Source organism: Homo sapiens, chromosome X (assembly GCF_000001405.40).
Source record: "Homo sapiens chromosome X, GRCh38.p14 Primary Assembly".
NCBI lineage: Eukaryota > Metazoa > Chordata > Mammalia > Primates > Hominidae > Homo > Homo sapiens.
In genome coordinates, this window is record NC_000023.11 from 75,364,238 (window position 1) to 75,390,692 (window position 26,455).

Consider the following 26,455-nt stretch of genomic DNA (forward strand, 5'->3'; position numbering starts at 1 on the left):
ATTTTTGGGATTTGTTTTTGCCTTCCAGCTGTGCCTGCTTATTAGGCTGTAGAAACTGTAATGCTTTCCTGGCCCTGTTCCTCCAAGGGCTCCACCCAGAAGGTAGTAATCTAATTAAGAAATGGGAAAATGAAAACCCTTACAACTATTGAATCTTCTGTGTATCTGTGTATTTATATGTGATGTGTGTGTAATGTGAAAGAGCATTGACTAATTGGTTTTTTAAGAAAGAGCTTAAATATTTTATCAGAAAAATAAAAAGGCATAAGCCTTTAGTTTACATGACTTTAGTAATTGTTGGGAAATAAAATATTTTACATGCAAGGTGTGTAAGGATAGTGAAATATGTTTTTGGTAAAAGATTATAAAAAGGCATGGGAATGTGGATTTTTCTGCTTAAAGGGTTAAAGGATTATTTTAAGTTAGGTAGGATAAAGCTGAAGGTTTGAGCAAGTTGTGGAAGGTTTGTGAAAAATTAATTTTGTGAAAGAAATTGTGTGTGAACATATTGGCTAAAATTAAAGGGGAATTGTTTAGGTCTTCCATAAAGTGAAGATTGGAATAAAAGCACAACATGTTTTTCTTAGAGCACTGATCTTTTTTTTAACAAAAATTTGTAAAGGGTTGTAAAAGGTTAATGGAAATCTTAACCTTATGGTCAAACATTAAAATTGGGTAGATTTGTCTATCAGGTTTTATTAGAAATTGGGGTTTACATTAATAGTACACTAATGCAAAAGGTGAAATTTGAATTTCTCTCTTGAACAAGATTTTTATATAATATTAAAGGATAATAAAAATTTTTGTTTGCCCTTTGAATAAACTGCAGGAAAAAGAAGGGAAAGAAATGAGACAGGTTGTTTGGAAAGCTAAGTCTTCCCTCTTCATGAGTAAAGGTTTTTGCCTTTTTAAAATTTTTAAGTTATCAATTTTGCTAAATAACAAAATGGAATCCCAGGTTATCATAAGTTATGGTAACCTTGAAAAAACTTTCAAGACTCTCATGGAGAGCTGAAATGTTCATAAATATCAGGCAGAACAGGAGTCAACTGCATGGACTAAACTAAAAGTCTGAAGTAATCTTTTTAAACTTTTTGCTTAAAATGTTTCTGATCATTTGTTTTGTTTTTCAGAGTCAAGGAAAGTTTTTTTGAGCCCTTTACAGCTTTTAACAATTGAATAAAATATACTGTGAACAAAATTTGGAACATATTTGTTTCTCTCTACCTAATTTCTCTAGAATTTGGTAACTATTTGTGAGTATTCTTAATTTATGGAAATATAGTTATTTGCATAAGTGCAATAGGAATGTTTTCTTTTGCAGCAGGACACAATTGGAGAATCTTGTTTTACCAAGGCTTTGACTAGAATGGCATGCTTCTTTTTAAGGAATCAAACTTAACTTGTAGATCCAATAAAAGCCCCTTGGGAAAACTGGCCTCATGCCTTTTCTGCAAAGTCCTTGTTGAGGGTTTCTAACCTGTGGTAAGTAAAGAATGTCACTTTCTGATAGGCTCAGCAGGTTCAAGTTATCTTGGGACTTCAAGAGGAGAGAAATTTACTCAACTCATTGGTATTTGAGGGTACCAACCCACGGCTGGGCTCAGCTTAAAAAAATTCATATCTGAGATTCCTTATGAAACAGTTTCATCAAAGCCAATTTAAAATGCCTACTACATGAAAAAATTATTCTTGCTGCACTTTATACAAATATTCAAGCCAATTATAAGACTAAGGCTTATTTTTGCAAATGAATTGGTCCTATTATAACTTGTCTTTAGTAAAAATGGGAAACTGGAGAGAGAACAATTATGTTTCAAGAACTATGGTATACCTGTTATTAGATTCTAGTCTCATTGGTTGTTTTTGAGTTTTTTTCCTGCAATTTAGACTAACCCTACTTATTCCTGTGAACCAATCTGTAATCTCTGACTGCTGCACAGAAGAAACAAGAGGGATGGGTAGTCAAAAATCTGGATCTATATTCTAATTCTGGGCACATTGGAATCAGTTGGCAACCCCATATCAGCTTGGTTCCAACAGTTGCCCAGTCCATGGAAAACCTTCTTATTTAGTTTAGTTGGGATAGTATTACTTATTTTGCTTTATTGTTGTGGAATATATTGCTGTTGTACCCTTTTGTAGGAATACAGGATAAGCTTACTGTTTTCTTTAAATGGAACACTTTTTAATATTCCAGATATCACCTTGTGTCAGAGTTATAAATGGCCCTCACCATACTGACACTTTCTGACTGAGCTCCTCTCTACTCCAACTACAGGAGACCCTAATAATTAGGCAGGAATGTCATCACCCTTATTCAGCCTGAAAAAGTTACAGAAGATGGATCTTCAACCCTCTACAAACCTTAGGATTAAATGTTCTCTTATAAAAAGGAGGGGAAAGATATGTCAGAGGCATTGGAATCAGAGTGACTCCATCTTGAATATGGGCTGGGTAAAATGAGTCTGAGACCTACTGTGCTGCATTCCCAGGTGGTTAGGAATTCTAAGTCACAGGATGAGTAGGAGGTCAGCACAAGATATAGGTCACAAAGACCTTGCTGATAAAATAGCATGTGGTAAGGAAGCCAGGCAAATCCCACCGAAACCAAGATGGTAATGGAAATGACCTGATTTTCCTCACTGCTCACTATATGCTAGTTATAATGCCTTAGCACTCTAAAAGACACTCTCACCAGCACCATTACAGTTTACAAATGCCATGGCAATGTCAGGAAGTTGCACTATATGGCCTAAAAATGGGAGGAATCCTCAGTTCCTGGAATTGCCCACCCCTTTTTGGAGAACGCATGGATAATCCACCCCTCGTTTAGCATATAATCAGGAAATGACCATAAAAGTGGCCAGCCAGCAGCCCTCTGGGCTCCTCTGCATATGGAGGAGTCATTCTTTTGTTTCTTTACTTCTCTAATAAACTTGCTTTCATTTTATGGATTCACCTCAAATTCTTTCTTGCATGAGATCCAAAACCCTCTTTTGGGGTCTGGGTCCAGACCCCTTTCCAGTAACACTTTGTTTGTAATATGAGCTCTTTGTAACTGATTCACTAGAATAAATGACATGGGATTTTCTACAGAGATATTTGAGGTCTTTACCTAGGACAAAGTAAGTACTTTTTTTAAAAAAAATAAGCTTGGCTGGAATAAAAGATTTTTTTCTGGTTTTGTGTTAAGCCTGACATCTATGGGTTGGGCTTCTTTTAAGTGATTCAAGTTCTCCATTATTAATTGGTCAGAAAGTCAGCAATGACTGTTCCAAACTTCAGTTTTCAATGCTCTGCATTTTGAATGACTTCTGCCTTCCTGGTTGGCTAATTGGGGGCTTTCTCCATTCTGTCTGAAAAAGGACTTTTCCTGCAAATGGTGCATCAATTGAGGGAAACCTTATCTGGGGCTTACCTTAATGAGGGTCTCCTCAAATATTTCTCTGAGGGTAATGTATGAGTTAGGAGTAAGTGGGCTACTGTGTTTCTTTTTTAGTGTGTTTTGTTTATACTTATTTTAACTTTTAAATTCAGAGGTACATGTGTAGGTTTGTTATATAGGTAAACTTGTGTCATGGGAGTTCGTTGTACAGATTATTTCATCACCCAGGTATTAAGCCTAGTACCCATTAGTTATTTTTTCTGGTTCTCTCCCTCCTCCCACCCTTCACCCTCTGATAGGTCCCAGTGTCTGTTGTTCCCCTCTATGTATCTTTTTTCAGGTGACATGCATCTGGAGAATAGTACACATAGCCTTCAGTGTAAGAAAAAGCAAACCAGAGTTCACTTCACCCTTAGGCACATAAGAAAAGTTCTTTCTTTTTCCTTTCATCACAATGGCAGAGTGAAAGGCAAAAGATGTGTGAGGCTGAGTAGAGACTGAATGTGATTAAGTGTCACTAGACTGGTCAGCTTTCTATCTAAAAGCCATTGCAGCTAATTTCCCAATTCATATTCATGTAGGAACATAAGACAGAAATACCGAACACATGGAAGGGGCTGTTCAGAAGGTGAGATGTTACAGAGAAGTCTACATACCACGCATACCAATCAACCTGAGTGAACAAACATCACTATACCCCTATGAAATTAGATGTATAGAAACTTCCTTAGAGTAGTCTGAAACTTTAGGGTTTGTCAACATTGTTTAACAAAGCCACAATTTAGGAAAAAAAACCAACAATTATATGCATATACTTTTAATGAAGGATATAGGAAGATAAAGCTGGCCAGCATTTGTCAATATTTCTGCACCAAGACACATGGTTTTAAGAATACTATATACAATCATTTTGAGCAGATTGGTGGGAAAAATAATTGTAGCAGATTGGCAACCTATGCTTAACTTCTGAGGTCTCCTTTTCTGGCACTCTAATATAGTTCATATATTACCAAGACCCACTGCCAGCTTTCCTTTTATGTTCCTTCACTGATTAAGCCAGCAGAGTGAAAGTAATTATTCCTTGAATGCATCTTATCTAATTTTTTTTTCCTTTAATGCCATTCCCTACTAACAATCTATTTCCTGGTATATTGAATTCATTGTTGGTTTTAACTCATTCTGCTGATGGCTGTGTACCATCCTGCTACAAAGAACACATTTAATGGTTTTGAACACTGTGCAGGACACAGACCTAACCCTTTTAGGGAAGTAAACAGTCATGGGTTGCATGCTACTAGGAGCCACCCATTCATTATTATATAATACCCGCATGCAAAAGGCTACAATTTAATATGGTACATTACAGCTATGGTTAAAGAAATGCAGATGTACCATACCTCATCAACCAATTCCTAACGAGATGGAACTCATTAATTTTCTAAGAATATGGATCTTGTCCAAGGGCCTGACAATCTCATTAGATGCCCCCTGTGCTTCTCCATAGAACGTCTTCTGTACCGAATCTCTTAGCTACTCTGAGAGCAGAGATTCTGGAATGTATAAATCTAATGTTCTTCACATGCTGTGTTTCTTAGACTCTTTTTCTAAAAGGAGAAAACAGATAATCATTCTTTTAAATTAAAGTATTTGCTCCTGCTGAAGAGGCAGCCTGCTTTGGAGAAAATGTGTATGTGTGTGTGTGTGTGTGTGTGTGTGTGTGTACATGTGCATACATGTATGTAGATATGTGTGATGAGAGGTGAAAAGAATAGGCTTTCAATGACTGTTACATTCCTATGAATTTGGGCCCTGTTAAATTAATTTTAGGTTCATGTTACAATAATGTATAATATTCAGTATTCTTAAAACTTACTTGCTAGGATTGTGCTTAAATCTCCATTAACCTCAATGTCTATACTTTGTGCAATTTGGTATAAACATGGAGTGCATTCTTTACCTTGGCAATGTCTGCCCTGAGATTGGGCTCTATGGTGCCACAGGAGGTAATGGCACTGGTTGATGCCACATAGTGTGAAAAATATGTGTCACATGGGGCTAGTAGGGGAAAGAGGCACATATTGCATTCTTATCACATAGAAAGTAAGAGTTGTACAAATTGCATACTTTTCAGATTTTTGACAAAATGTGACTCTTTCAGAATGTGATCCTGTTGTAATTACTCTCAAAATTCTAACTGCTCCATGATAATTCCAGTCCTGGGAAGCCAAGTTACTTTAACAATGTACTGAACATGGTAACTGTGAGCCCTGCATAAGACAGCTGTGTTCCATTGGGGACCACTTAATCTCTTTTCCCCTTAATTTTTCCAGCTGTACCATGGGGAACAATTTTTTTATTCTGTCTCTTTCTGAGGACGCTGTTGGAGTGAATGGAAGAACATTAACAAAGTGCTCTAAGTCCTGCAAGAACAAATCAGCAATGAGAGCATGGACAAAAGAATGGAGTACATTATTTTGCTTAGAAATACTGTATGGTTAAGCTTTTCATTCCAGTCCTATAATTAAAGACATATAAGAGCACTAGAAAGTGACATAGCACCCTTCAGCAGTAGGATCCTAACAATGAGTATCTTCATTTTGCAAACGGAGAAAATGAGTATCAACAATTAGGGAATGAGATTCCACAGAGGTTATTGGACAGGGATCCAAAGAAAAGCAAGCAAAGAAGCCAGATCAGGGTGTGCTAATTATTAAATAAAGTTCTGTATTCTTGATTAATAATCAACCAGTTGGGTACCTATGTACATTAGTCAATACTCAAATGATCCATGGATAGGGATATTATCAGAGTCTATAAACCAATGAGACCAAAATGCTAAGATAGGAATAGGTTTTCTTTTTATCTCTGAGCCCCTGGTAAAACCCTGATTTATTTGGCTTTTTTTTTTTTTTTTTTTTTTTTTGAGACAGAGTTTCACTCTTATTGCCCAGGCCGGAGTGCAATGGCACGATCTCAGCTCACCACAACCTCTACCTCCCAGGTTCAAGCGATTCTCCTGCCTCAGCCTCCTGAGTAGCTGGGATTACAGTCATGCACCAACACTCCTGGCTAATTTTTGTATTTTTAGTAGAGACAGGGTTTCTCCATGTTGGTCAGGCTGGTCTTGAACTCCCGACCTCAGGTGGTCCGGCCGCCTTGGGCTCCCAAAATGTTGGGATTACAGGTGTGAGCCACTGCGCCCAGCCTTATTTGGCCTTTTAAAGACAGTGTAAATCTGTAAGACATTAAACAATCAGCTTTGCATTACATCTTTCCTGAGCTTTACCTCTCCGGAACTTCCTTATAGTTAACTGACACTATATTTTGTGACTTGACTTCTGTGGGAGCTGAGTGCTGATACACCCTATGCATCAAAGAAGTTCTTGATGTTTTTCTGACTTTGAATCACAGTTAACAGCTGCTCTGCCTGAATGCTTGGCAGAAGATGATTGATGGGAAAGAGGAAGATTACTTTGAGGCCTACTTGCTGTGTAGTAAGTAAAGGCCATACATGTAGAAAAAGGTGCATATCTATATGAATAGAAGACAAGGCTTGTCTGTCATAAAACCATGGGAATGGCCAAATAAGGTTTCAGGAAAAACCGAAATGAGAGTATTTTGAGAAAGAGTGTAAGGGGAAATTTTTTTCCATCTGAATATATAAGAAGATTTCATCTTGAAACCCAGTGTGTGCATAGTCATCTAGGCTGCTTTTTAGCTTCTGAGTTTGAGAAAGTCACTAGCCCTAATAAGTGTAGTCATGTCTAGTATTCTCTCAAATGTAATGCTGACCACAATCCATTTAATTTATGCCAAAAGTCTCACCTTGGTCAAAATTACCTAGGGATCCAGATGAACAGGTTTTGTTGTTGCTTTAAGTAGCTGGATTGTTCACTTTCTCAGCTCCACTGGAACCCCAACACTAAATTGTGGCAGGCAACTCTTTTTTACTCAAACATATTTCAGGGAAGATAAATTAGTAAGCCAAACCATCCCTCTAGAAGCTCAATTCCTTGATACCTGTAAGATGCTTCTAAATTCCACTGATCTCTAAAAGAGTTGGAGCTTTTATTGTCAGCAGCTGGGCACTAGACTGCTGGATGAAAAAATGAAAGATATCAATACTCTTAAGATATTATTATTGTAAAGAATCAGTACTAGTATTCTCACTCATTGATTCAGGCACTAGGACTAAAAGAAAGGCTGATTATAAATAAATGGGGAAATTGATGCAAACTGTATTAATGGCTTAGCTACTACTGAAGCTAAAAAAAGAAGAAAGAACTGGCATATTACTATTTGGTTATCACTGTCTGTACAATAGCCCCTGCTATGAAAACACAGCTCTTTAGTGCTAATCCTCAGGCTAATGTCAGCTGTGAAACTTTACCCTTATGAAAGGCAGTGAAATTAAACCTGAAAATCACTCTGAAAACCCTTAACAAAACCTATGGGCCATAACTTAGGCTTATAGATTTTCTTTCATCATAAAATAACTCATAAAGGCTAAAATAAAACTAGGAAGCAGATAAATGAATAAAAGTAATTGGAGAATTTTACTGCACCCTGACAAAAAAGTCTTTAAAAAACACTGGTTATTATGTTCAATAAAGTTTATGTCCTGAATTTGATCTTCTTGAGTAGCTGTGGTGCTTTCAGGAACATTTGTGACAGAACAGGTTTTACATTGTTGTTCAAATTCCAATTTGAGGACCTTGGTCACAGTGTACTGATTCACCCTCCCAAATTTTAGATACTTGATATAGCGATGATTCAAAGTCTAGCAAATATTTAAGTTGCTATTTAGAGGAAAAGCATAATTAAACAAAGGCTTCAGGTTTTTAGCCCTGATTTTCACACTATAGCAGAATTTTGTATAGATATGCTGTACGTGTTCACAAATGCACACGCACACAAGCAGCAAATGTAGTTTGATTCCCTTCAACACCAAAAAGGCCCTATATATGTGATTAATAATCTTTGTGGGGGAATTAAAGACTCTAAGGAAATTTTCTGAATTTCCTTTTACCTGATAAGATGAATGAAAAGATATATTTTACATTTAGGCTTTCATGGATTGGGGGAGGGGAAATGAAGAAACAAAAAAAATTGGCTTGAATTAACTGCTACCAAATTCCAAATTGGATTTCAGTCAGTAAATTAAATAACATAAAGTCCAGAAACATTTACACAGCAAGTATTTGATGGAATTCTTTCAAATTTTGAAGCTTTCAATCCAACACGGTGACTTATTTTGAAGATTACAATGATTTCCAACATTGAACTCTGTAAGCCTCATGGGAGGCAGAGATGGTGAGTCCTGGGAATGAAGAGAAGAAATTCACAGATGAGCTGAACAACTGTAAATATTCATGTGGTAACACCCACTTGACAATAATATGCAACCATTAAAATTACATTTATGAAGAGTATAGATCAGCACTGAAAAATGTTAAGTGAAAAAGGCAGGATATAAAATTATATATACAATGCTATATTTTTGACCCCCAAAATTACATTTGGAATAAGAGACTGAGGAAATACACTGAACTATTGAAAGTGGTGGATTCATGGGTAATTTGTTTTCATTTCTCTACCTTCTACTTGCATTTTCCACATTTTCTTTAGTAAATATATAATTTGATACTTCAAAAATACTATTTTTGAAATCCACATGGAAATAACAAGAGCTTTGAAATTGGGCAATTATGAAGCTGAATTCTAGCTTTGCCTCTTATCTCCATAACTCTAGAAAAATAATGTCAATGGATCCTAGTTTACTCATCTGTAAAACTGGTATAATATAATCTTCCTGAAACAATATCTGGCATATAGTAGGCCCTCAAGTAGCTATTTGTTTAAGCTTTCCGGAAAATGATTTGGCCTTATCCATTGACCCTTTAAAAAATTCATACCAGTAATTTTGCTTCCAGGATTCTATCCTATGGAAATGATTATAAATGAGGAGAAAGATTTATGTTTAGTGATATTATTCACAACATTATGATGATGGAAAATTGGATAACATATCTTATTAAATTTATTTTTATTTTTAATTTTTATGGGTACATAGTAGGTATATATATATTTATGTATTACATGAGATATTTTGATACATGCATGCAATGCATAATCATCACATTTTGGTAAATGAGGTATCCATCACCTCAAGCATTTATCCTTTGTGTTACCAACAATCCAGTTATACTTTTATAGTTATTTTAAAATGTACAATTAAATTATTTTTGACTATAGTTACCCTGTTGCCCTAGCAAATACTAGGTCTTATTCATTCTTTCTGTTTTTTTTTTTTTTTTTTTTTTGTAGCCATTAACAATCCCCAATTCCCCTCCAGCACTCACCCCTCCACTACCCTTCCCAGCCTCTGGTAATCATCATTCTACTCTCTAACTCCATGAGTTCAATTGTTTTAATTTTTAGCTTCCACAGATAAGTGGACATAGATGAAGCTGGAAACCATCATTCTCAGCAAACTAACACAGGAACAGAAAACCAAACACCACATGTTCTCACTCATAAGTGGGAGTTGAACAATGAGAACACATGGACACAGGGAGGGGAACATCACACACCGGGGCCTGTCGGGGGCTGGAGGGCTAGGTTTGGGATAGCATTAGGAGAAATACCTAATGTAGATATACCACGGGTTGATGGGTGCAGCAAACCACCATGGCACATGTATACCTATGTATCAAACCTGCACGTTCTGCACATGTGTCCCAGAAGTTAAAGTATAATTTAAAAAAAAGGGAACCTCCTTAATCTGATAAAGCTATCTAGAAAGAATGAGAGAGTGAGCATCTACCACACACAGGGACAGGATAGAAAAATGGTTCATTAAAAAAAAAATTCTATGCCTACCATATGACTTAGCCATCCTACTCCTTGGTACTTACCCAAGCACAGGTTCACACAAAGTCTTGGTCACAAATGTTTATAGCAGCTTTATGTGTATGAGCAAAAAACTAGAAACACTTCTGATATCCATTAATAGATGGAAAAGTAAATTTTAGTGTGTGTGTGTGTGTGTGTGTGTGTGTGTATATATATATAATATATGTATATATCCAGTGGAATACTACTCATCAATAAAAAGAAATCAATTATCCTTACACACAGCAACAAAGGTGAATCTCAATTATGTTGAGTGGAAGAAGCCAGACAAAACAAAAAAATACATTTGTACAGATCTACTTGTTTAAAATTCTAGAAAATGAAAACTGATAGTAACGAAATAAATCAGTGTTTGCCTGGTGATGGCGCAGGGGTTATTTATAAAAGTGCAGAAGAAAACCTTTGGGAGAGATGGATATATTCATTATTTTGATTGCAGCGATGGTTTCACAGATGTAAACGTATTTCAAAACTCACCAGATTGTATATTATAAAAGTATATAGTTTTTTTGTAGTATAAAGGCACAAAAATGCAGAATAAAATTAAAGTGCTAGTTTCTTTGAATTAAAAAAGTATGAGATTTTAATGTTTTTATACGTGTTTCCAAGTTGCACTCAAAAAATGATCTATGAATTTAAACTCACATCAGCATTGTATAAGAACATCTGTTTCAGCATGTCCTTGCCTACAATAGGTACTGTAATTTGTAAAAATTGGCTGACTTAATAGATAAAAATTAGTATTTTAGGTTATTTTAATTTGCATTTCTTTACAGTGAAGTTGAACAAGTTTAATGTTTATTTTTCATTTTAATTTCTATTTTGTTGATTGTTTGCATCCTTTGCCCATTTACTTTTTACAAAATTTGAAAATAATTTCATCTTTTATTTTAGATTCGGGGTACATGTGCAGGTTCGTTAGGTGGTATATTGTGTGATGCTGAGGTTTGGGGTATAGATCCCATCACCTAGGTAGTGAGCATAGTACCCAATAGGTAGTTTTTCAACCCACCCCCTTCTGTCCTTCCCCAACTAGTAGTCCACAGTGTCTATTGTTGCCATCTTTGTTTCCATGGGTACTCAATGTTTAGCTCCCATTTATGAATGAGAACATGCATTATTTGGTTTCCTGTTTCTGTGTTAATTTTCTTAGGATTATGGCCTCCAGCTGCATCCATGTTGCAGAAAAGGATAAGATTTCATTATTTTTTATGGCTGTGTAGTATCCATCATATACATGTACCACATTTTCTTTGTCTAGTCCTCTGTTGATGGACACCTAGGTTGATTGCATGTCTTTGCTGCTGTGAATAGTGCTGTGATGAACATATATGTACATAAGTCTTTTTGTTAGAAGGATTTATTTTCCTTGGGTATATATACCCAGTAATGGGGTTGCTGGGTGGCATGGCAGTTCTAAGTGTTTTTGAGAAATCTTGAAACTGCTTTCCACGGTGGATGGACTAATTTACATTCCCATCAACAGTGTATAAGCATACCCTTTTCTCTGGAGCTTCACTAGCATCTGTTATTTTTTGACTTTTTAATAATAGCCATTCTGACTGGTGTGAGATAGTACCTCATTGCGGTTTGGATTTGCATTTCTCTGATGATTAGTGATGATGAGCATTTTTTTTCATATGTTTGTTGGCTGCTTGTATGTCTTCATTTGAGAAACGTCTGTTCATCATGTCCTTTGCCCATTTTTAATGGGGTTGTTTTTTTTTTTTTGCTTGTTAAGTTCCCTATAGATTCTGGATATTAAACTTTTGTCAGATGCATTGTTTGCAAATATTTTCTTCCATTCTGTAGATTGTTTTTGCTACTGATAATTTCTTTTGCTGTGCAGAAGCTCTTTAGTTTAATTAGATCCCACTTGTCAATTTTTGTTTCTGTTGCAATTGCTTTTGGGGACTTGGCCAAAAATTCTTTGCCAAGGCCAATGTTGAGAAGGGTATTTCCTAGGGTTGCTTCTAGGATTTTTATAGTTTGAAGTCTTACATTTAAGTCTTTAATCCATCTTGAGTTAATGTTTGCATATGGAGAAAAGTAAGGGTCCAGTTTCAGTCTTCTGCATATGGCTAGCCAGTTATCCCAGCACCATTAATTGAATAGAGAGTTCTTTCCTCATTGCTTTCTTTTGTTGCTTTGCCCATTTTCTAACTGTTGTGTTTTTCTTTTGTTTACTGATTTGCAAGAGCTTTGTAAATTAAGCATATTAAATTTTGTGTGTTGTATAGTTTGCAAATATTTTTCAAGTTTGTCTTTTCATTTTGAAGAAAATATAATCTAGAATAAGTACATTTTTGGGGTAAAAATTATGGCAATAATTTTTTATATACAAAATTTAGAGGCAAAATGAAAAAATTAGCATTGATTCTACATTTTAAACACAAGGGATTCATGTTTTCTTTCATCCTTTTTTATTTAAAAAACTTCAAAAGAAAATGAAGGGAAATATATATTAAATATCTAATTACTTGGACATATATAATGTATTAATGCATTCTTCTACTGATAGACATTCAGGTTGTTTTCAGTTTGGAGCTTTTTACAAATATCACTGTAGTAATTATCTACATACAGTTTAAACAATTCTTCATATCTTAATAAGTTTTAAAAGGTTTCTCCCACTCTTCCCTCCTGTGTTCCCAAGTACTTTTCTATTATTATCAGAATATGAGGCCCGGCACGGTGGCTAATCCCAACACTTTGGGAGGCCGAGGTGGGCAGATCACTTGAGGTCAGGAGTTAGACACCAGCCTGGCCAACAGGGAGAAACCCCATCTCTACCAAAAATACAAAAAGCAGCCGGGCGTGGTGGCACACACCTGTAATCCCAGCTACTTGGGTTCTGAGGCAGAAGAATCACTTGAACCTGGGAGGTGGAGGTTGCAGTGAGCCGAGATCACTCCACTGCACTCCAACCTGGGCAACAGAGTGAGACTCCATCTCAAAAAAAAAATATATATATATGTATATATGAGTTTGTGATTTCCACAAAATGAATCACTTTATTAATATATTTGGACAGAGTGCCCTGTAAAAGGCATAAGGCATTGCTTGAAGGCAATTTTGCTTATCTAGGGAAGTATATAAAAAATGCATTTCAAAGTTCCTTAGCATATTAATGGTCCTGATAAGTATTGCACGAAATACTAGGTTCCATGATAGGCACAAAAAAGAAAGGATCCAACAGTTAAATAAAATTTAAGGGACCACTACAACCTCCTTTTGGTGAGCCACAAAACTCAATAGTGTAGTAAAACCCCTGAGAATTCCTACACTAAAGCCAACTTTCTAATTTTGCTTATATAGGGTTTTATAAATTTATTTACCAGATAATTTTTCTTCCCTTTAACATCTGTTACCATGCCAAAGTAGTAGTGTTTCCCCTAGGAAAATACTAAAATAAAATAGACAGATTAGCACCACAGATAACCCAAATCTAGATATTACTATCATATAAGTTGTCTTACCTAAACATCAAACATTTCATCAGGGCTTTGGATAAGGAAACAGACTTGGTTCTCTCCTTTTTTAATCTTTGATAATAAATAAAGACACATCACAAATAACTCAGATTTTGAAATGTAGTGCCATGGTGGAAATAGCATGCTTTGAGGTCAGATAGACCTGAGTTACAACCCTAGGTTGGCCACTTACTACATATGCAGACTTGGATAAGTGATTTAACCTCTCTGCATATCAGTTTTCTCATAAGTAAAATGGGAATAGTAACATTCATCTTACAGTTGATGTGAGGATTAAATAAGATCATATATATCAAGTACACACCAAAGTGGCTGGCATATACAAAGTTTTATACAATATGTACACTTGTACACAGCAGAATTTCTGTAAGGGAAAGAACTGAAGACCTGGGAACCCACGAACAGATTGTAAGCTTCTGAATAATTGCTAGCTTTTTTCATGAGAATAGGATTAGAAGTTTCATCCGATCAGAGCTATAAGCTCTATGGTATTTCTATTACTAACATTCTTTTAATATTTAATTACACTGGGTTTATACCTGTGAGTGTTGCAAAAAGAAGGTCGTCGAGCTTTTCACCAGGCCAAAGAGAATCCCATGTGTAAAGTTGTCTGCCACTACTTAACAAACTCATAGCATTTTAGGAGGGTTACAGTGTAGGAAGGATGCTTTTTTGCCCTTAGTGGGGAAGACTAGGTTATTAACTGACATAATGGAGTCAGGCAAAAGAAAGCTATTTGTAATCTGTACCATTTCAGAGACCTGGAATGAAACAGGAGGAGGCTTATAATTCACAGTATGAGAGTAAATAACCTTAACGGAATGTTTGGGTGTCTGGATCCCCGGAGTTTTTTTCAGCACAAGTGACATAAGTGTGAGTTTGCAGGGAATAAGGGCATCTTTTTTTTCAGCACACTGCCAAGGGAAATTATGTATAGAACTTCTGCTTATGCATGCATTACAAGAGTGAAGAATTTAAAATCTTTTTCACCCAGGATAAGAACTTATTTCTTTTCTAGTTCTTCTCCCAAGCCGCCTTCTTAGCAGTCCAGGTGCCACTGTATGTGTCTCCCTCAGAATACTGACCTGTCTGAGAGATGCAGGAAATGTGAAAACTGCTATGTTTCCGTTTCCACAGCAAGAGATGATGAGCCTTCTGGATAATCTGCAAGGTTGAAACGTGAAGATGATCAAATGTCCCCGTGCCTTATATGGGTGGGTATTCATTCACTGGCAGTTTTCCTTCTTGTTCAATCTCTGCAGGCAACAGATACCTGCAAACCTCTAAAGACTGATGTGTAACACAGAAGCATTTGTAACCAGACATTCACATTCTAAGAATAGTCAGCCTGCTATACTATGAACTAAGATTATTTATCAGCATTATCTGATCTATAATACTGGCTGGTATTTGACTTAAATAGCTATGATGACAGCTCAACATAATCTGACTTTAATGGAATGTTTTGCATCTTGCTACCCACAAAATTACCCTGTTTTGCTGTTATTCCACCGGACATAATTGAGTTAGCTATTACAGTACTTTAGGTGATGGTGTGTTTCTAAAAAAGGAATGAGGTATCTAGAAAATAAGAGGCTTTGGGATTAACAAGCAACATCATTTATGGTACAAATGTTTTTGTTTCTGACCTCCAGCCTTTTGGGAGAGCACACTCTGAATCAGCTTGCTGAATGTACAGGTAATCACTTTTCTCATACTCACAGCATAATAATATACTTGGCATTTTGAGATTAAAAAGTTGACAGTAGCCATCCCCTACAGTTTCTGCACAGCACAGTGTCTTTTATGTGCCATTCAGAGTGCTTTCTTAAGTGTGAAATCTAGATTCCTAAAGACAGAGGCCAGCCAGTCAGTGTGAGTTATCCTTGCCACAGAAGGCTGCAAGCTCTCATGCCACTGAGTTAAACAGGCAGATTCCAGACAGCAGGTTGCTTTCTTCCAGGAAAACTGGAAAAATAAAAGTGGCTCTGAGAATGTCTCTTTGGAATCATGACCCTATGGTAGGCCCAACATTCTGTCTTGTCTGGAATCCTAGCCTTAGGGTATTCTTCCCTTTAAGTTTGGGCAGAAAGCAAATGTATTGGCCTAGGTCTTCAGTGAAAGATACACAGAAAATAACTTTATGTTTATCAAATAAAGAGAAAAAGAGGTTGCAAGTGCTTAAGCATATATCTCATCTTGCCTACCCAACATTTCTACTAAGAAGGCAACTGAAAAATAGTGAAAGACAGTTCTGAAAGTGCAATAAATTTCCTTGCCTTGCTGTTCCAAAGAAGTGATGCTAATTCTTTCAATGTTCACTCCTTGCTGATGGTTGGCTATTTCAGAATTTTTAGGTGTGGTTTGGTGATGAACCTTTCCAAAAGTTGGCTGTTTGGATTCTGCTTTTAGGATGCTTTTACCTTTTCGTACTGCAACATACACTCTTATTTGGCACAGAAAATTTTTCCTCCAAGCAATTATTTGAATTAAAATCCTGCTCTTGTAGACACTGAGGCTTGAGCTGAAAACCCAATTATCAACTTTGGTTTCACTCCCAGGATAAGATTAAGCTAAGGTTGCAAAGGTAGCTCACCGGGTGAGGACTAAATTAAAAAAGGAAGATACCTAAAAAAAATCAGGCTCTGGGTAATAGAAGACAAACACAGAATTTAGGGAGTCAATTCACCTTCACCTCCTACCATCTGCACCTATACTCCTTCCCCCAACTACACCTGCCCTTGCTGCCTATGTAGTAGTGATTTCACTTACTCAATATATGTCTACTTGAACCAAGAATGATGTTATTTTAGTCTTAGTGTGTGCTGGTTAAGCTCTGGCTCTCTTCCTGTCTTCTCCTAGATCTCCTTTACTTTAAAATTCTAGGTTCTCACATAAACCCTTGATGCTATGTGAAGTGACTTTGGCAGTATAGGTACACTTCTTTCTAGCCATTGGTTCTCAGAGATTGGGAAGAACAGAGCAAATGACACAGTGGAGTCTGGGAAAACTTAGGTTGAGTCACCACTGCTTTATGACTTTATATAAGTCGCATTACCTCCCCAGCCTCAGCTTTTTCATCTGTAAAATAGGGGCAATACTCTTTCATTCATAGTATTTTTGGGATACTCTACCCCAAACTATGAGCATTGTGTAATGTTCTATTCTTGACCCTCTGGCTTTCTCTTCCTCATTTATTTCCTTGTCCATGTGGATGCATGTCAACACTGCTTAGGTGATTACTAGTTTTACATTTTATCTTTCTTCCCTAGTTTTATTCTCTCCTTATTGATTCTTCTTTACCTCCAAGGATTTAACTGCCATCTCTATACAAATGACTCCCAGATCTCTCTAGTTAGTGGGACTATTTCCAGATACTTAAAATGTCTCTTGGGTTTGATCATTCCTCTCAATTTATAGTGTTACTACCACTCATGAATCCATTGCAACACATGCACAGTTTTTTGCTGTTCTTTCCAGTTCTTGTCTCTCCAAATTTCAATCCATCCTGCATACTAGCACCCAAGTAATCTTTCTAAAATTAACCTTTCCTTATATCAATATATCACTCAAGATCATAAACTTAATAGCTATTTTCTATGTTATCAAGTCTATAAAACCCTCTATCATCTGGCCGTATCTTACCTCTCTAAGACTGTAGCCCACAACCACAATGTCCACCCTATGCTTCAGTGTTCTTACCACATTCATGTTGTAACTCTGACCTGGAATGCTAATTCCTTCTTCTAGCATCTATCCTGATGTTTCCCATCCTAATAACACCTAGCTTAAGTCCTGCCTCATCTTCAAAACTTTCACCAGAATAGCCCACTTTCCTGGAATGCTAATTCCTTCTTCCTCGCATCTATCCTTATGTTTCTCATTCCAATAACATCTAGCTTAAGTCTTGCCTCATCCTCAAAACTCTCACCAGAATAGCCCACTTCCCCCCTTTACTGATATACTCAGGTTTAAACATCACTAACAATCACACAATTCCCACATGTATCACACATTGCTTAATGCAGAGCTAAGCCTATATTAGGTATGTAATTAGTAGCACCATTTTTATGGCAATGAGCACACCAAGTCTTGTGTTAGATTGTCTTTCCCTGCAACTGCAAACTCCTTGAGGACAGAGGCCACCATTTATTTACCTCTATGTCCCTCCACAGGACCTTTTGATATGTACCTTCAGGAAATGCTTTATGAATTGAACTGATTGATTAGAGACTTGCGTTATTTCAGGAACACACACCAATTTAGAGCTTAGGGTTTGACAACAAAGGTAAAGGAATAAAATGAACATCCATGATATTACTGCATGAAGTAAGTTTTCCAAGAGCTGAGAGTATGGATACATTCTTATCTAGAAACATGGGGGAAAAGTTACTTGGAAAATGTCTCGCTACCCAAAGGAGTACCCTTCTATAACCCAGTGTATTGTGTTTGATGTTTTCAGAAATGAGGCCTAGGATTCCTACTCTCATAAAAAGGCAAATGACAAGTGTATGAACAGGTTGTTTATAGGCATGTGGCCAAAATGTTAGGGCAGATGTGTTAAGAGGGAACAAGTAAGTGTATATCGAGAGAATACACGAAGAAAGAAATTTGGTTCTATAATGTGGAAGATGAATCAATTTGCATGTTTACAGTGGCCTCTAGATTATAATAGCATTCCTTCTGAAAAAGTAAAGGAGCCATTTGGTGAAAGATATCAGGTTGAGCTTGGAGCCATTTGGTGAAAGATATCAGGTTGAGGTTAGTCAGCTTGACATCTGTCCCATCAGTGTAAGGTGGTATCAAAATGTGATATTATAATTGAAGATAGCTTAAAGATCATGGAATTTAAACAGGTCCAGAGAGAAGAGGCTTTCCAAAAGTCATGCATTGAACTTAGTGGCAGAGGTGGGAGATGCTTCCCATGCTAGAGCTCTATCCATATTTTTACACCTTCTCTTTCTGGTGAAAGAGGTACAGGAACTAAAATAATTTTCTTTCAAGTGGTCCTTAAAAGATCTATAAACTGAAAGGTAAACAGGAACAAAGGAGAGATACTGGGTGGTATAGTTGTTAAAAGAGTTTGGACTTTTGAGCCAGGATCTGTCACTTGCTAGCTGTGTGACTTTGGGTTTCTTTGAGCTTAAGTTTCCTCATCTACAAAATGGGGTTATTTAATGTTTACAACTCACAAAGTGGTTATACCTGGCACATAATTGGCATTCAACAAATGTTAGTTGCACACTTTGAAATAATCTAACAATCATTTTCTATATGCAACCTTATTTTCCAACAGTTGCAGAGAATACTGAAATAAAGATGATGTTTCTGACTCCAGTGAGTTCCCATCTAGTCCCCAAATTCTTTACTTGAGCCAGGCTACTTTCTTCATGTCCTCTTCACTTAGCTTGGGGTCTTGTGCACTACAACCTGTGACTTTCCTTATACCTTCTGCTTCTGCACTGCTCTCTGACAATACAGATCCTATCTAGTCTTCAAGGCCCAAATTCTCCCTCCTCTGTGAAGCCTTTTCTGACCAAATCAACTCACGGGAAATCATTGTATCCTTTGAATTCTGATAGCACAAACTTTATAGTTCTATTCATTTGACCAATAACATATCCTGTATTGTGTTTTGTTAGGCAGCTTTCCACGTATGTATTTTATCACCCCCACTACCCCAAATTTAAGAAATGTTAGGTTTTTTTTTTTTTTTTTTTTTGAGATGGAGTCTCACTCTGTCACCCAGGCTGGAGTGCAGTGTTGCAATCTCGGCTCACTGCAAGCTCCGCCTCCCGAGTTCATGCCATTCTCCTGCCTCACCCTCCCGAGTAGCTGGGACTACAGGCATCCCCCACCACACCCAGCTAATTTTTTTTTTGTATTTTTAGTAGAGATGGGGTTTCACTGTGTTAACCAGGATGGTCTTGATCTCCTGGCCTCGTGATCTGCCCGCCTCGGCCTCCCAAAGTGTTGGGATTACAGGCGTGAACCACCGCACCCGGCCAGAAATGTTAGTTTTTCCCTATTCTCTCTCCTTTTTCCTATTATATACTTGGTCAACCAGACAGCCATCCTACCCCAGAATGGTAATGCCTCTTCATTCCTCATATGAGGGAATAAAAGAGAAAAAAGCTTTTGGAAAACATCCACTTATCTAATCATCCCAAATATGTAATCAAAAGTATACAACTCATGTGAAGAATACACTGGTAAAATGTTAGTATAGGCCAAGGTATCTTGAATTCCTATATAGAAAGCTGGTAAATGCCCTTTTGGCTGGAACCGCCATCTTCCAGTAATTCGCCAAAATGACGAACACAAAGGGAAAGAGGAGAGGCACCCAATATATGTTCTCTAGGCCTTTTAGAAAACATGGAGTTGTTCCTTTGGCCACGTATATGCAAATCTATAAGAAAGGTGATATTGTAGACATCAAGGGAATGGGTACTGTTCAAAAAGGAATGCCCCACAAGTGTTACCATGGCAAAACTGGAAGAGTCTACAATGTTACCCAGCATACTGTTGGCATTGTTGTAAACAAACAAGTTAAGGGCAAGATTCTTGCCAAGAGAATTAATGTGCGTATTGAGCACATTAAGCACTCTAAGAGCCGAGATAGCTTCCTGAAACGCATGAATGAAAATGATCAGAGAAAGAAATAAGCCAAAGAGAAAGGTACCTGTGTTCAACTAAAGTGCCAGCCTGCTCCACCCAGAGAAGCACACTTTGTGAGAACCAATGGGAAGGAGCCTGAGCTGCTGGAACCTATTCTCTATGAATTTATGGCATAATAGGTGTTAAAAAATAAATAAAAGACATCTGGGCTGTAAAAAAAAAGATGGTAAATAATTGACTAAGATTAAAGACTCTTCCATCATTGGCACTATCTACTATCGCCAATATGCATGGAAATACATAAGGGCAATTTGGTACCCTTGAAGAAGTACTTTCTTTGAGGTAGAAGGCATGAATTTAACTTATGACTCTGTCTAAGTCCTGTGGCAGTTTTGAAATTCCTAGGAATAATCGTACAGGTCTGGTTAGGTCTGAAGAACTAAGTGATAAAGTAATTTTTTCTTCAAGCAAGAGTTAATCATTGTCTCTGACTGGGAGGTGATTGCACAGAATGTCACCCACAGATGCTTCTAAACAACAAAATTTTTGATGTGAAAGGCCTCTCATCTCTGAACCAGAGCTCTTGTATATAGGATGTACTTGGAGAGTCTGAATTCTGATGAGGAGAAGGGCTCTCACCAATCCTCTCAGAAGGTCCAGGGATTACAGCAATCTCTGGCATAGGATGAAAGTGTGCTTTGATAGGAGAATCACTTCCTCATCTTCCTGAAACATTTCCTTCACATCATGCCCCAGCTCAAAAACCTTCAGTAGTTCCCCATCACTCACAGAATAAACTTATTAGTCTTACGTCTAAGGTCCCACCCAAACTGATACCAATTTACCTGCTGAATTAATCTAATAATCATTTTCTACATGTAACCCTGTTTTGAAAGAGGTGCAGAGAATACTGAAATAAAGATGATGAGTTCTCTTATTTTAATGAGTTCCCATCTATTCCCTTACTGCCCAAAATTTCTACTGGAGTCAGGCTACTTTCTTCATGTCCCCCTCACTTAGCTTGGGGTGTTGCGCATTACAACCTGTGACTTTCCTTTTACCTTTGGCCTCTGCATTCCTTGCCACCAATCTAGATCCTATCTAATCTTCAAGGTCCAAATTCTACTTATCTAAAGCCTTTTCTGACCACCCTGGCCCACAGCAAATCACCTTTCCTTTGAATTCTTATAGCACAAATTTTATGGTTTTAATCATTTGGCAAATAATGTATCCTGTATTGTGTTCTGTTAGGGAACTTTATGTATCTTATCTCCCCAAATAAATAAAATACCCTTGAGCTGAGACAATATATTGTATTGCCTGAACACCCCTTCTGGGTCCAATCTCATAACTTTAATATTCTCTCAATAAATATTAGTTTATTTTTTCTGTTATTCTTTCTAACAGGTTATTTGTCATGGCAGCATAAAGTACCAGATTGAAAATAAATCAGAAATTTCTTCTACTGTGGGCAGTATTAATGGGTGTCATATAAAGAAAGTTTTATCCAAATAACAAAAGAGGAAATAGGCCACAATATATAAAACATTGAATATACTAGAGTCTGATGTCAGTATTTTTTCAGGACAAGTGTTCAGCATTTCACAGGAAGGAGATTAATTCCCCCCAGTCCTGATTATCATTAACACTGGAAGGTTGTATTAGCACACTCAAGAAAATTTTTATTTTTGTATTATACCTTTACTTGATAAAAATATGCCTTCTAGGATATATTCTATAAAAATTATCAAAATAAAGAGGCAATTTATCACATTAGCTCAAGGGAAAAGCCGCTGTTTAGTTCAGAAAAGTTCAGTTCTTTTATTGCTAGATTTTTTTTTGAGACAGGGTCTCACGCTGTTGCCCAGGCTGGAGTGCAGTTGTGTGGTCAGTTTACTCCAGCCTTGACCTCCTGGGCTCAAGCGATCCTCCCACCTCTCAGCCTCCTGAGTAGCTGGGACTACAGATGCACACCACGACACCCAGTTAATTTTTGTAGTTTTTCATAGAGAAGAGGTTTCACTATGTTGCCCAGGCTGGTCTCAAACTTCTGGGCTCAAGCAGTCTGCCAGCCTCAGTCTCCCACAGTGCTGGGATTACAGGCATGAGCCACTGCACCTGGCCAGCTGGATTCTTTTTAAATTATTTTTCTTGTCATGGTTACTATACTGATAGAGAGTAACTGGAATAAGCTATGCATAATTATCATGTACCCCGGGGCTTGATTGTGACCTGGAGCTCTCTACTGGATTTTCAAACCAGGCTGAAAGAAGAGCTCAGTGAGGAGAGAAACTGATTTTACCTTCCTTACTAGGAAATAAAGGAACTACACCTAATGGATAGAGGTCATATAATTAAAACTGACAGTTCCTCTTTGGAAGTTTCCACATTTTGGATGGGCAGTGCTCCCATTGTTTACTAGATCCTAGGAAAAACAGAGCTTAAGGCACCATCTACTACTGAAAAGAAGACAGTGACCTAGTGAGGAAAAAAACTGAAATCCAACAGGCAAATTACAAATAATCTCTAAGCAAACATAATGAATAAAAACCAAAACAAGACAGACAGAGAAGACTGGAATAAATAACTAATTCTTCAATGCAAAAACAGACATGCATCCACAAGAAGTAATACTGAACAGGGAACCATAACCTTCCCAAATGGACAAATCAAGGAACCAGTGACTGACCCTAATGAGACAGCAATATTTGAGCCCTCTGATCAGCAATTCAAAATGGCAATATTATGGAAACTCAGTGATTTCCAAGACAACACAGAGAAGCAATTCAGAAATTTATCAGAAATAGTTAATAAAAAATTTAAATAGAAAAAATCAGACAGAAATCATGAAACTTAGAAATACATTTGCTAATCTGAAAAAAATCATTAGAGGCTCTCAATAACAAAATGGAGCTGAAGAAAGAATCAGTGAGCTCAAAGAAAACCTTTTTGAAAATAAAGGAGAGAAAAAGAATGAAAAGGAAAAGAGATCACCTACAAGATACAGAAAACTGCCTCAAAACATCAAACGTAAGAATTATTTGTGTACAAGAGGGAGTTGAGCAAGAGCAAGGGGATCGAAAGCATAATTCAATAAATAATAACAAAAACTTTCCAAAACTTGAGAAAGATAAATATCCAGGTATAAGAAGGTCAGAGCACACCAAAAGATTCAACCAAAATCGTCTACCTCAAAGGCACATAATAGTCAAACTACCCCAAGGCATATAATAGTCAAACTCTCAAAGGTCAAGGTCAAAGAGAAGATCCTAAATACAGCAAGAGAAAAGATGTGCATAACATATAAAGGAGCTTCAATTTATTTGGCAACAGACTTCTCAATGGAAACCACACAGGCCAGGAGGGAGTAGGATGACATTTTCAAACTACTGAGGGGCAGGGAGCAGGAAGCTGTCATCCAAGAATACTGTATCCAGCAAAGTTATCCTTCAAAAATAAAGCAGAGATAAAGTCTTTCCCGGATAAACAAAAGCTGAGAGAATTAACCATCACCAGACCAATCTTACAAGAAATGGTAAAGGAGCTCTTCAATTTGAAAGAATGCAAAAAGAAAACATTTGAAGGTATACAATCCACTGGCAAAATTAAGTACATGGACAAACCCAGAGTGCTCTACTACTTTAATTGTGTAATCAACTCAAAACTCTAGTATGAAGCCCAGAAGACAAATCTATCAAAAACAATAATCACTGAAGAAACCTGTTAAAAGATAGGTAGTATACAAATACATAAGTAGAGATGATTAAAATCAAAACGTAGAGGGGATGAAGTTAAATTGTAGAATTTTTTTCTTTGTTTCTATTATTTTCTTTGTGATTTAAGAAAAGCTGTCCTCTCTTTAAAATAACTTGTTACATCTATGACATATTTTTTGGTAAGCCTCATGATAGCCAGAATGCAAAAACCTGTAATAGATTCACTAAAAATAAAAAGCAATTAAAACTTAATGCCAGAGAAAATAACACAGCTACAAAGGAAGAAAGAAAGAAGGGAAGAGAGGAGCTGCAAAACAACCAGAAAACAAGCAAAAAAGGGCAGTAGAAAGTCCTTACTTGCCAATAACAACATTGAATGTAAATAGGTTCAATTCTCCAATTAAAAGCATAGAAGAGACTGGGTGGAGCAAGATGGCTGAATAGATGCCTCCACCAATCATCCTCCCCACAGCAACACCAAATTGAGCAACTACTTACACAAAAAGCACCTTCATAAGAACCAAAAATCATGTGAGAGATCACAGTACCTGGTTTCAACATCATTTTAAGGAAAGAGGCACTGAAGAGGGTAGGGAAGACAGTCTTGAATTGCCTACACCACCCCTCTCCCATCTCCTAGCAGTGGTTGCATGGTATGGAGACAGACTCTGTGAACTTGGGAGAGGGAGAGTGCAGTGACTGTGGCAGTTTGTGTTGGAACTCAGTGCTGCCCTGTCACAGCAGAAAGCAATACTGGGCAGAACTCAGCTGGTGCCCACAGAGGGAACATTTAGACAAGCCCTAATCAGATAAGAAATGCCAATCCCAGTGGTCAGAACCTGAGTTCTAGAAAGTACCGCTACTGCAAGCTGAGGCTCTGGGGTCCTAAATAAACTTGAAAGGCAGTCTAGGGCACAAGGACTGCAATTCCTGAGCAAATCCTGGTGCTTTGCTGGGCTCGAAGCCAGTGAATGTGGGGTACACATGACCTAGTGAGATACCAGCCAGGGTGGTCAAGGGATTGCTTGTGTAACCCCTCCCACAACGTCAGGCAGTGCAGCTTGCAGCTCTAGGAGAGACTCCTTCCTTCTGCTTGAGGAGGGAGAAGGGAGAATAGAGGACTTTGTCTTGTAACTTGAATACCAACTTAGCCACAGTAGGATAGGGTACCAGGAAGAGTCCTGAGGCCTCAATTTTAGGTCCTAGCTCATGGGTGACATTACTAGACACACCCTGTGCCAGAAGGGAACATGCTGTATTAAAGTGAAAGACCCAGTCCTGCAGGATTTATCACCTGCTAACTAAAGAGCCCTTGGGCCCCGAATAGTCACTAGAGGTAGCCAGGCGGTACTTACCATGGGCCTTGGGTGAGATTCAGAGATATGCTACCTTTAGGTGTCACCCAACATATGCACAGCTATGGTGACGATGAGCAGAGACTCATTCTGCTTGATAAAAGCAAAGGGAAGATAAAGGAGACTTTGACTTGCAGGTTAGGTACCAGCTTGGCCACAGTGAGGAAGAGCACCAAGCAGGCTCTTGGGTTCCCCAATTCTAGGCCTTGACTCTTGAATGGCATTTCTATACCTACCCAGGGCCAGAGTGGAGCTCACTGCCCTGAAGGGTGAGTCCCAGATCGGACAGGATTCACCATACCCTTATTGAAGAGCCCTTGGGCCTTGAGTGAACATTGCCAGTAGCCAGGCAGTAGGTGCTGTGGGCCTGGGGCAGTAGTGGCCACAGCGAGATAACTGTGTATTTGTGGAAAGGGGAGGGAAGAGTGAAAAGGACTTTGTCTTCTGGCTTTGGTGCCTGCTCAGCCACATTGGAACAGAGCACCAGGTTGATACTTAAGATTTCTAAATCTAAGTGCTGACTCCCAGATGGCATCTCTGGAACTGCCTGGAACCTGGGGGAATTCGCCACCCAGAAGGGAAGAACAGAAACCTGGCTGGCTTTGCAACCTGCTGATTGTAGAGCCCTAGGGCCTTGAGAGAATATAGGCAGTAGTTATGATGGGTCTTGGGTGAGAATCAGTGCTGTACAGGCTTCAGGGCTGACCCAGCACAGCCCTAGTGGTGGTGGCCACAGGGGCACTTGTGTTACCCCTCTCCTAGCTCCAGGCAGCTCAGCACAGAAAGAGACTTTGTTTGTTTGGGGGAAAGTAAGGGAAGAGAACGAGAGCCTCTGTCTGGTAATCCATGGAATTCTTCAGGATCTTATCCAACACCACCAAGATGGTATTTATATGAGTATGCAAGAGCCACAGCATTACTGGGCTTGAGGAGCCACCAAATGTACATATAATGCAATGATCAAAGACT

At 37.8% G+C, this 26,455-nt stretch overlaps 1 protein-coding gene and 1 pseudogene across 10 annotated transcripts in view; one reads left to right on the forward strand and one right to left on the reverse strand.

Annotated features, from left to right (window-relative positions):
* The window catches only part of ZDHHC15 (zDHHC palmitoyltransferase 15), a 154,611-nt gene continuing 132,345 nt past the window's right edge, over nt 4,190-26,455 (reverse strand). For 3 of the 10 annotated variants that reach the window (NM_001146256.2, NM_144969.3, XM_024452342.1), the window contains 2 exons: nt 14,883-14,961; nt 4,190-8,708 (listed from right to left, as the gene is read on the reverse strand). In NM_001146256.2, coding sequence (NP_001139728.1) covers nt 14,915-14,961 — 47 coding nt within the window. In that variant the 3' untranslated portion in view covers nt 4,190-8,708; nt 14,883-14,914. Of the gene's footprint in view, nt 8,709-12,709; nt 14,962-26,455 lie in introns of those variants that run through there. The other 7 variants (XM_047441866.1, XM_047441865.1, XM_047441869.1 and 4 more) reach the window with 4 other exon arrangements.
* Nucleotides 20,069-20,626, forward strand: RPL21P134 (ribosomal protein L21 pseudogene 134; annotated as a pseudogene).